At 43.6% G+C, this 12,405-nt stretch overlaps 1 protein-coding gene across 6 annotated transcripts in view; it reads left to right on the top strand.

The window, feature by feature from the left end:
* Positions 1 to 9,955, top strand: part of NIBAN1 (niban apoptosis regulator 1) — a 183,477-nt gene extending 173,522 nt beyond the window's left edge. For all 6 annotated transcript variants that reach the window (XM_047444098.1, XM_047444102.1, NM_052966.4 and 3 more), the window contains 2 exons: positions 2,797 to 2,908; positions 4,890 to 9,955. In XM_047444098.1, coding sequence (XP_047300054.1) covers positions 2,797 to 2,908; positions 4,890 to 6,010 — 1,233 coding nt within the window. In that variant the 3' untranslated portion in view covers positions 6,011 to 9,955. The remainder of the gene's footprint in view (positions 1 to 2,796; positions 2,909 to 4,889) is intronic.

Here is a 12,405-nt window from a genome sequence, read left to right as displayed (position 1 = left end):
GGAAAGGAGAGAGAGTTAAGGGATGCACCATGCCTGAGCTATCCTAGAAGGAATCAATGAATGTCAGGGCCAGCTGAAGAGAAAGAGAATGTTTCTGAAGAGCCCTTGACTACAGAGTCTCCCAACCCCCAAAGTGGCCCCATTCTGATAAAGTTAAGCATACATCTACCCTATGACCCAACAACTTCACTTTTAGGTATATGCCCAACATAAACAAGCCCTTAAATCCACAAAAACATATGTACAAGAATGTTCACAGCAGTTATATTTATGATTATTATATGGCGTAGATATAGTTGCGCCATATATCTACAACTATCTGATCTTTGACAAACCTGAGAAAAACAAGCAATGGGGAAAGGATTCCCTATTTAATAAATGGTGCTGGGAAAACTGGCTAGCCATATGTAGAAAGCTGAAACTGGATCCCTTCCTTACACCTTATACAAAAATCAATTCAAGATGGATTAAAGACTTAAATGTTAGACCTAAAACCATAAAAACCCTAGAAGAAAACCTAGGCATTACCATTCAGGACATAGGCATGGGCAAGGACTTCATGTCTAAAACGCCAAAAGCAATGGCAACAAAAGCCAAAATTGACAAATGGGATCTAATTAAACTAAAGAGCTTCTGCACAGCAAAAGAAACTACCATCAGAGTGAACAGGCAACCCACAAAATGGGAGAAAATTTTCACAACCTACTCATCTGACAAAGGGCTAATATCCAGAATCTACAATGAACTCAAACAAATTTACAAGAAAAAAACAAACAACCCCATCAAAAAGTGGGCAAAGGACATGAGCAGACACTTCTCAAAAGAAGACATTTATGCAGCCAAAAAACACATGAAAAAATGCTCACCATCACTGGCCATCAGAGAAATGCAAATCAAAACCACAATGAGATACCATCTCACACCAGTTAGAATGGCAATCATGGCCGGGCGCGGTGGCTCACGCCTGTAATCCCAGCACTTTGGGAGGCCGAGGCGGGCGGATCACGAGGTCAGGAGATCGAGACCATCCTGGCTAACACGGTGAAACCCCGTCTCTACTAAAAATACAAAAAATTAGCTGGGCGTGGTAGCGGGCGCCTGTAGTCCCAGCTACTCGGGAGGCTGAGGCAGGAGAATGGCTTGAACCCGGGAGGCGGAGCTTGCAGTGAGCCTAGATCGCGCCACTGCACTCCAGCCTGGGCGACAGAGCGAGACTCCGTCTCAAAAAAAAAAAAAAAAAAAAAAAAAAAAGAATGGCAATCATTAAAAAGTCAGGAAACAACAGGTGCTGGAGAGGATGTGGAGAAATAGGAACACTTTTACTTTGTTGGTGGGACTGTAAACTAGTTCAACCATTGTGGAAGTCAGTGTGGCGATTCCTCAGGGATCTAGAACTAGAAATACCATTTGACCCAGCCATCCCATTACTGGGTATATACCCAAAGGACTATAAATCATGCTGCTATAAAGACACATGCACACATATGTTTATTGTGGCACTATTCACAATAGCAAAGTCTTGGAACCAACCCAAATGTCCAACAATGATAGACTGGATTAAGAAAATGTGGCACATATACACCATGGAATACTATGTAGCCATAAAAAATGATGAGTTCATGTCCTTTGTAGGGACATGGATGAAATTGGAAATCATCATTCTCAGTAAACTATCGCAAGAACAAAAAACCAAACACCGCATATTCTCACTCATAGGTGGGAATTGAACAATGAGAACACATGGACACAGGAAGGGGAACATCACACTCTGGGGACTGTTGTGGGGTGGGGGGAGAGGGGAGGGATAGCACTGGGAGATATACCTAATGCTAGATGACGAGTAAGTGGGTGCAGCGCACCAGCATGGCACATGTATACATATGTAACTAACCTGCACATTGTGCACATGTACCCTAAAACTTAAAGTATAATAATAATAAAAAATAAAATAAAACAAAAATTATATTTATGGTTGAAAATTGAAAAAAAATCTCAATTTTTATCAACCTGAGTGCAGATAAACAATTTTTGTTTATCCATATAATGAATACTACTTAACAATAAAAAGGAATGAGCTACTGATAGATGCAGCAACATGGATGAATCTCAAAAACAAATGCAAAATAATTATGATTTCATTTCTATAAAGTTCAAGAACAAGCAAAAACTATCATGATAGGTATAAAATCAGTGCTCATATCTTGGGAGGTGCAGACTGGAAAGTGGGGTGGGGGAACTTTGGGGGTGATGGAAATGTTCTCCTTGATCTGGGTTATGGTTACATAAGTATATTTACATATTTAAAATCATTGAGCTGAACTTATCTGTACATTTTACTATATATAACTTACCTTGGTAAAGTGCTATTGTGATTAAACAAAAAAGAAAGAAGGAAACATCTTGGTGATGAGGGGAAAAAAGGAGGCTCCAAACCTGCTAATGAGGCCTTGAGATGATAAAAAAAAATCACTGCTGTCTTCTCCCATGAAGTGCATAAAATGCGTGGCCAGTACAAGGAAAGGGAAAGGAACCACCAATGGCTGAGTGAGTTCCACACCTTATCATGGACAGTAATAGATGTGTCGAGGTCAGGCATGGTGCCTAGACAGTGAATTGAATTGAAGGGAACCCAATAAAATATTATTGAATTGAGTAATTTGCCCCTGGGCCAACATGGTCCTTCTCTTATGCCCTCCAAGAAGAGAATCATGAGTGGGAATCGTCCTTTCTGTATCTCCTCTAAGAACAGGCATCTCATGCCTTTTCATCTTTATCTTCTAATCTCTTGCTCTCCAGGAGCTTCAGAAATACGAGCAGTTCATCTTTGCAGATCATACCAATATGATTCACGTTGAAAATGTCTATGAGGAGATTTTACATCAGATCCTGCTTGATGAAACTCTGAAAGGTAAGAAAGGTTACCTGGTGCTGCAGGGACACTCCATAGAGGGGAGCATCCCTGAAATAGGACTCTGTAAGGCCAGTCAGGGAGGAAAAGAGAAGAGGAAATGGACATTGGTGAGGGAGGGAGACAGACAGTGAGGAGAGGGAAGGAAAGAAGGAAGGATACTAACCTTGATTGAGTGTTATGATTAAGCACACACAAAGCTGGCACTTTAGATGTTATTTTCCCTTTTTAATACACAAATATGAATGCTGTGAGATGGGAATTTTAAGTTTCATTTTACAGATGAGAAAGTTGAGGCTTAGTGAGATTAAATCTCGGGTCTCTCATGAAGAGCTGTCTTCCTCTTGCTATTCCAGACAGAACAAAGGGAAAAGGGCTTTTCTTAGGCACAGGCTTGTAACTGCCCCTGCCCCCCACCCACCAAAGCTGAGAAGAGGCAATTCCAGCAGCAAGGCTTATTAATGGCTCTCTCAACACATTCCCAGACTCCACTCAGCCAGACAGAAAAAGGTGCAGGGTGATGATGCAGTGCCACGCAAGTCTCGGTGGGACTCCGGCATCCAGTATCCTCAGGAATCATGCCTTGCCTGGGATTGGATTGTGGATAGGAAAACTTTGTTTAAAATATGCTGGAGAGGGCTGGGCACAGTGGGTCACACCTGTAATCCCAGCACTTTGGGAGACCAAGATGGGCAGATCACTTGAGGTCAGGAGTTCAAGACCAGCCTGGCCAACATGGTGAAACTCCATCTCTACTAAAAATATTAAAAAATTAGCTGGGCATGGTGGTGTACACCTGTAATCCCAGCTACTCCAGAAGGTGAGGTAGGAGAATCGCTTGAATCCAGGAGGCAGAGGTTCCAGTGAGCCAAGATTGTGCCATTGCACTCCAGCCTGGGTGACAGAGTGAGACTCGGTCTCAAAAAAAAAAAAAAAAAAAAGCTGGAGAAGGCCACCATCAAACTGTGGACCTGAAACATATCTGGTCTCCTTTTGGAAGGTCTTGAGTATCACAAAAGACCTTCCTCAATGAAAACTGGCCAAGGACAAGCCCAAGGTCCTAGTAGCTAATTCTAGGGAATCCAGTGAGACCAGCAATATGAAGATGTCAGCACAGTGTCTACACAAAGGAAGGGCTCGGTCAAGGCCACTGCCAGCCCACCATGGGCACTTTTGGGTGATTTAGAAAAAGACTCCTTTCCTCCAGACACTTTATTGCTGTCTGTTAGAAAATTGTCACAATATATTGATTTTGTTAGAGAAGGAAACTCTGCAGCTAGATGCTGAAAAGTTATGCCGAATACACAAATCTGTTCTGTCTTTGATATGAATGGCACCCCTGAGATGTGATATTTTTGGGCACTACAGCCCCTGCACAGCCATAAGTAGGAGGCCTGTGGTCAAAAATGTCACCTGCTGTTGTTGTTGTTGTTATTGGATTTGCCCCTCTGGAGGCCTTTGAAACTGAGCTAGATGCACATGGATCTTCATTTTGGCCCTCTCCTCTGCATGTGCAGTACCGAGTACCTATTACACATTCAGGACTGTACTGCAAGGTAAAGCAGATAAGTGTAAGGCCTGGCCCTGCCCTAGAGGATTTCAGTCCAGGTGGACAAACTGGAGCCACCCATCTTAGCAGCTAATAAAATGTGCTGGGGCCTCCCTGAGGGATACAGGTGACACTACTGCAGACCCTGAGTGTCTTGAAAACAAAGGCTATAGTTTATTCATCTCTGGATTCCCAGGGCCTGTCCCATGTTAAATGTCCTGCAAATGTTTGCTGTTTGAATAAATGAATGAATGAATGCTACAGAGGCTCAGAGTTTGGAAAGAGTTTATAGACTTTGGTCATCAGGGAAGGCTCCCTGGATGTAAGCTGGGTCTTGAAATGGAGAAATTTGGATAGCCAGAGAGGCTGAAAGGGGACTTTGGCTTCTCAATAAAATCAGAAAATCATGTTTTGTTTTCTGATATCTCTCAGTGATAAAGGAAGCTGCTATCTTGAAGAAACACAACTTATTTGAAGATAACATGGCCTTGCCCAGTGAAAGTGTGTCCAGCTTAACAGATCTAAAGCCCCCCACAGGGTCAAACCAGGCCAGCCCTGCCAGGAGAGCTTCTGCCATTCTGCCAGGAGTTCTGGGTAGTGAGACCCTCAGTAACGAAGTATTCCAGGAGTCAGAGGAAGAGAAGCAGCCTGAGGTCCCTAGCTCGTTGGCCAAAGGAGAAAGCCTTTCTCTCCCTGGGCCAAGCCCACCCCCAGATGGGACTGAGCAGGTGATTATTTCAAGAGTGGATGACCCCGTGGTGAATCCTGTGGCAACAGAGGACACAGCAGGACTCCCGGGCACATGCTCATCAGAGCTGGAGTTTGGAGGGACCCTTGAGGATGAAGAACCCGCCCAGGAAGAGCCAGAACCCATCACTGCCTCGGGTTCTTTGAAGGCGCTCAGAAAGTTGCTGACAGCGTCCGTGGAAGTACCAGTGGACTCTGCTCCAGTGATGGAAGAAGATACGAATGGGGAGAGCCACGTTCCCCAAGAAAATGAAGAAGAAGAGGAAAAAGAGCCCAGTCAGGCAGCTGCCATCCACCCCGACAACTGTGAAGAAAGTGAAGTCAGCGAGAGGGAGGCCCAACCTCCCTGTCCCGAGGCCCATGGGGAGGAGTTGGGGGGATTTCCAGAGGTAGGCAGCCCAGCCTCTCCGCCAGCCAGTGGAGGGCTCACCGAGGAGCCCCTGGGGCCCATGGAGGGGGAGCTCCCAGGAGAGGCCTGCACACTCACTGCCCATGAAGGAAGAGGGGGCAAGTGTACCGAGGAAGGGGATGCCTCACAGCAAGAGGGCTGCACCTTAGGTTCTGACCCCATCTGCCTCAGTGAGAGCCAGGTTTCTGAGGAACAAGAAGAGATGGGAGGGCAAAGCAGCGCGGCCCAGGCCACGGCCAGTGTGAATGCAGAGGAGATCAAGGTAGCCCGTATTCATGAGTGTCAGTGGGTGGTGGAGGATGCTCCAAACCCGGATGTCCTGCTGTCACACAAAGATGACGTGAAGGAGGGAGAAGGTGGTCAGGAGAGTTTCCCAGAGCTGCCCTCAGAGGAGTGAAAGGGACAATTTGGCTGAAGTCTTTCTCTGAAAAAAGCCAAAGGGTTATAGGGGTACACTTAGGGGTTGCATGCAAGCTGTTACCAAAAAATTTTTAAGTATTTTCTTAATTTGAATAATAAAACCAGAGGAAATGCATACAGGGCATGAGCAACTGAGGCAAACCTTTGTGGACATGAATTGTTCTACGATGAATTTTTGCTTTAGTATTTTAATAAGAATTACAAAGACAATGGCATACTTGGGGTGAGAGGGAGCTGAGGATGTCTGAGGAGGGAATAGTATTGCAGGGAAGACTGAGAAAACAGTAGGATGACAGTTTTGAGTATACTCTGCACTTTTCAATTGTGCAATCTTCTTGTGCACTTTAAGGCTTTTTAATTTTGTTTGAGAATGCAAATGTATACTGTAAGTCTACCTTTACTATCTACTATGCCTACTTCACCATCTCTTAAGGACTCGGCATTTGTCCACAGTCAGACTGCAAGAGAGGGTAGGTCATGAACAGTCACCCGTGCTGGCTGTAGCCCCCACAGAGGCAATCATGCCCAATAGATTCAAGAGAAGCTAAGCGGAAATGGAGGGTGGAAGGTGTGATCTGTGGGACTGTCTGGGCCTGTTACTCATCCTGCTATCAATTTCTTATTAATTAATCTTGATGATTCTTATTAATTAATCACATTTGCAGGAAATTCAGATGAGGCAAGAAAATTTTATTGGCCTGGGTAAGACTGAAAGCATTCCAAATTAGGCTTAGACTGTGCAAAGGGCTTAGCTAAGTTATCGAGCTTAAAACCCGTCAATTAAACAAACATTATTTGAACAGTTACTGCATGCCACGCACTGTGTTGGGCTTAGTAATAAAAAAAAGAAAAGATAAGTGCTTGTTCTAGCATAAATTAAAAGGTCCAAGGGAATTTAATCTGGAAGAGAACATATGCCAATTTTTAAACTATGACAGCTTTTTTTTTTCTCTTTCCATTCAAATAGTCCTGGTTCATTCCCAGAAGGGCACAAAATGAATGAATAAATAAATAAATGAATAAAGACAAAAGCCAAGGTGTATGCTCTCAAGTTCCAAAGATGTTATCAAAAGCTGAAATCATTTGTTTGGTCATTCAGCAAGCTAATTGAGTCTCTGTTATATACCAAGCACTGGGGATACCATGGCGAAAAACAACTTTGTTCCTTCCTCCTAGAACTTACATTTTAATGGAAATAGACAAAACACATCTTCTTAACGGATGGTGACCTATAACCATTAATGTTGAAAATGGAAGAGACTTGCTTCCAAAAGATTAAAAGGAGTTGTTCTTTTCTCCTTCAGAAAAATACCAGATCATTTCCTAAAATCTCCAGTCCCAAGTATTACATCGTGGTTTCCCTCCCCGACTTTTTATTTTATTTTATTCTATTTTTTTGAGATGGAGTCTCACTCTGTCGCCAAGGCTGGAGTGCAGTGGTGTGATCTCGGCTCACTGCAACCTCCGCCTCCTGGGTTCAGGAGATTCTCCTCTGTCAGCGTCCCAAGTAGCTGGAATTACAGCCATGCGGCACCATTCCCGGCTAATTTTTGTATTTTTGGTAGAGATGGGTTTTCACCATGTTGGCCAGGCTGGTCTCAAACTCCTGATTTCAAGCGATCCACCCACCTCGACTTCCCAAAGTGCTGGGATTACAGCGTGAGCTACCTGGCCCCTCCCCAAATTTTAACATCAGATCTCAACATATTTGTTGAGAACTTGTTTAGATCATCACTATCGAGTAAATTTATGTCAGTTCTTTAGAGCATTTGCTTCACACACAGTTCAACCATTTAACCAGAAATTAAAATATCACCCTTTTCAGCCCTCCCATGAAGAATTTCTAGGTCATAAACATGAATAATACTCAGTATATGTATAATATCATATTTAATTGTTGCAACTTTTCTTGGCGTGTTTAAATCCTCATGTCTTTGAGGGATCCCACCACAGGTGAAGGAAGTAAAGACCACTTCTCCCCCAGTCTCTGCTTTCTGCAGTGCTCACTCATATCCTGGCATTTAGCATGGTGTGTTGAAATTAGGTTTACTTCTTGTCTCTCCAAGTGGCTCCTCTCTTAAAAGACAGAAACTAGGGTTTAGTCATCATTTGTGCTTCCTGCTAGAAACCCACAGCCTTGAATAATGGCTTCCTGCCTCCTTGAGTCACTTTAATATCCCTGGTGCATAGGACCTGGCATGCGTCAGGCTGCTCGGGAAATGTGGGAACTGGACACCCAGAACACTGCTGTGCTGGGGCTATTTGGGGCCTGCTGTCAGGCAGAAAGACGTTTTGAATTGGGCTTTCTGCCCTTGTTGAGTTTTCTCTTAAGTAAAGTCCAAAGTCCAAGGGGCAGATGGCCAGATGCACTGCCCAGTAAGGCAGGAAGCCAAAGAGGCAGTGCCCAGCCCCACAAAGGCTGCCCGACTCCCTGGGACAGTAGTGTGGAGTCCCAGCCCAGGCTGACCTCACACCGGAGCTTCCTAGCTTCCTTTCTTTGCTCAATGCAGGGCTTCTTGCACCCCCTGGAAAGCTAAGAGATTTTTTTCAACCCTAAAAGAGAGTACCTTTCACTGCATTGGATGGATGAACATCAGTGCCCTAACTTTATCCATCATGTAGGTCAGGGAGGACTGGGCACTATTTGGCAGGATGTACTCCAGAATATAATCAAAGAATTTTCTGTACATATTTCACTAAAGACAAGTTTTTGGGCTGGATGTGGTAGCTTACACCTATAATCCCAGCACTTTGGGAGGCTGAGGTGAGAGGGTCACTTGAGCCCAGGAGTTCTAGACAAGCCTGGGAAACATAGCAAGATCTCATCCTTACAAAAAATAATAATGGTGTGTGCCTGCAGTCCTAGCTACTTGGGTGGTTGAGGCAGGAGGATTGTTTGAGCGAGGGAAGTTGAGGCTGCAGTGAACTATGATTTTACCACTGCACTCCAGCTTGGGCAACAAAATGAGACCCTGTCTCAAAAAAAAAAAAAAAGTTTTCTAGAATAAGCAGGATGATTGTTTAATTTGAAGATGGAACAGGAAACTAGAGTGCATTTAAAATACTCTGTCTTCATTTTAACATGTTGAATGGAATAACTGCATATCACCATGAGTTTGTTTTGCTTTTCATACAGACTTGTATGTGTCATTTGAGTGGTTTCCAGATTGGAGCGAGGTTATTCTGATCTAAATGAACAGCATTTTTTTCCTTAGCCTCTGTTTGCCACTCTGGGTATCTCTCCTATGGGCAAAGCCATTAGAAATGCATAAAACCTCGAGACATGGTTTTTGGCAAAAACTCCATGACTTTAAACTAGCTCTTTTACTACTGACCTTTCACAGAGAAAAAATATTTCCCTTGAAAAAAACTGGGCTTGTCATTTTTTCCCTTGTAGCTTTAAGCAGAGACATAAGTGCCTTGCATTACACATAGTAAACTTTCTTTAAAAAAAAAAAAAAAAGATTTTGGAGACTACCAGGGTAAGATTCCAACTTGTCCAAAAGCTTTCTGGCCTTACATATTTTATTATAAAAATTCTCAAGTCTGGTAATCTTCTATGTCAGAGCTAGTGATTTCAAAAGGTTTCACAATTCCCCAAGACAAAAGTGATTTTCGTTCATTATAATAAGGTTAAGTGATATGTGATTCATAGCAATTTTGATGTGAAGAAGGGAAGGACATCATTGACTTAATAATAGTATCAGTCGGTGCAACAGTTGGCAACATGTGCCTTCACACTTTACCATAAAGAGACGGGTTTGAGGGTTTGCCTTCTAAAGTCTGCAACTTCAAGAAAAAAAATCGACACTGTGGATTGACTTTCCCGGTCACTATATAAAGCAAATAAACTTAAAACACTTTGTAACCATGTATTTACTCTGCCAGGTGCCTATATTCCAATAAAATGTTCATCCTTGAAGAGCTGACCAGATGTCATTTATTTGGAAGGAGGCTGGTTTCATCTTTTAAGCAGATGTCACATTTGAATTGTGAGGTACAGCCCTCTGAAACGAAAAGGCGAGTCATTCTTGCTGTATCATGGACCTTTTACTTTTCTGTTGTCACGAAGGAATCTGCAGGGAAACCACTTAATGTCAGGTGTAATTATGCTTTGATAATGCATATGCTTACGTCTCCAGGAATTGGATCACATTCATAATACAGCAGTGGGCAATTATTCTTGATGTAATTGAACTGCTGTTCAAACTTAAATTTATTTTCAATGGGTAACATTGAGCAAAACATTCATTCTTTCTGTAATTATATATACAACAGTATTTATTTGCCATGTCCACAGTTGCTCATTTATCCGTGGATTCATTCATCAAAAAAATAATGACTGGTCACCTCCTATAAGCAGGCACTCCAGTGGGTGGTGGAGAAACAAGTGAACACAGTAGACATGATCCCTGACATCAGCAAACGCAAATTCCCAGGGTGGACCTGGCCAGGGAGAACCCCAAATGAGTATTTACTTCCTCACCTGGCCTACATCTTGTCTATAATCTCACCTTTAACTCTAGTCACACCAACAGCTTCAGGCGAGAGAGGAAGAAACATTGGAGAAATCAAGTTCACCAGTGAGGGGGACACTTGGTGTGGCATAAAATTAATCATTCCTTCTCCCCCTTCCATACCAAACTTCCAGGATGCAAGAATCACTTCCAGAGTGGCCCCCTCAGACCTTCTTCCACTTAGAGCCAAAATTCAGATTAGAATTAAGGGACAGGGAGTTGATTTGAAACTGTTTGCAGAGTTTTTTCTGAGGTCATATGTTTATTGGGTGTGGCTTGGACAGGATCCGTGAGTCTTGGGAGGGTCAATTAAAGCTATTCTCTCCTCAGCCACACTTGGAGCCACCCCTGCTTGAACACCACTGAATCTTTGCCACATTCTTCCTTTTGCTAAAAACATCTGGCTCTCTCATCTCCATCTGGCCAATTCCCACTTCTCCTGTAAACGTCAGGATAAGTCAGGCTAAATCCACCCTGCCCCCACAGCCAGTAACACTTTTATGAACTCTCACCCTAATTTTCTTGCCCCCTTCTGGTCATCCTCTCTCACTCTACTGCAGCATTTACCTTGCCTGTGCCTTTGGGACAGGTACCCTGTCTGTAATCTTTGTAATCACAGCAAAGGAATACAAAGCTCAATAGCAAATGTTTAATGCATGTTGAAGGGACCAGACACGGTGGTTCACACCTGTAATCCCAACACTTTGGGAGGCCAAGATGGGCAGATCACTTGAGGTCAGGAGTTGGAGACCAGCCTGACCAACATGGCGAAACCCCGTCTCTACTAAAATACAAAAATTAGCCAGTTGTGGTGGGATGCCCCTGTAATCCAGCTACTCAGGAGGCTGAGACAGGAGAATCACTTGAACCCGGGAGGCAGAGGTTGTAGTGAGCCAAGATCATGCCGCTGCACTCCAGCCTGTGTGACAGAGCGAGACTCTGTATCAAAAAAAAAGTTGAAGGAATAGATGAATAGCATCCATCCATTCCAGAAGTAGGAGACAAATGGAGATATAGCTGATGATTCCTCAGCATGCCATAAGTGGCTGTGAAGCTGGTAACTTCATTTACCCTCAGCCTACTGGGAGAGTTCCATTTCAGTGATGAAAACTGACCATCATTTGTGCATACCCACAGCTCTGGGAGGGAGCTTCAGAGCCAAGTTACCCCCAAGTCAAGCTACCTATCAATACTATGAACCGCTTCCTAGTTCTCAGGGCAGTGGCTGCCACTGGATTTTCTTAAGGTCTCTATGATGCAATCAATGCAAAAAGTTACGAAGGTCACCCTTGAATTGCACCCAAGTCTGCAAAACACAAGCAAATGCCCAAGAGTTCATGGACAGCATCTACCTCTGGCAAGCTCTTCTCCTGTGGATGGGCAGGGAACAGAGAGAAACAGATATGGTCCCTGCATTTTAGGGAGCTCAGTCCATTTGGGAAGATTGAGAAGCAAATGATGGTTCTGCAAGAAGCGGAGGAAGGGTTCTGGCAGCACAAATGTAGGGCAGCTCCTGAGTCTACTCAAAAAATGTCAAGTTTGGTTGTTGAGCTTTTTTTTTTTTTTTAAGTTCTAGGGTACATGTGCACAACTTGCAGGTTTGTTACATAGGTATACATGTGCCATGTTGGTTTGCTGCACCTATCAACTCGTCATTTACATTAGGTATTTCTCCTAATGCTATCCCTCCCCCAGCTCCCCACCCCCCGAAAAAACACATGGACACAGGGCAGTTGTTGAACTTCTTAAGCCTGCTCTTTATTTCTTGCCTCCTTTATCTCTTCTCTATCATAAACCAACAACCAAAATCCAGCTGCCTACCCTGAAGGAGACTTTTACCAAGACCCCTTTATGG

The sequence above is a fragment of the Homo sapiens genome, chromosome 1, assembly GCF_000001405.40.
Source record: "Homo sapiens chromosome 1, GRCh38.p14 Primary Assembly".
Taxonomy (NCBI): Eukaryota; Metazoa; Chordata; class Mammalia; order Primates; family Hominidae; genus Homo; species Homo sapiens.
This window is presented reverse-complemented; position numbering and strand designations above follow the sequence as displayed.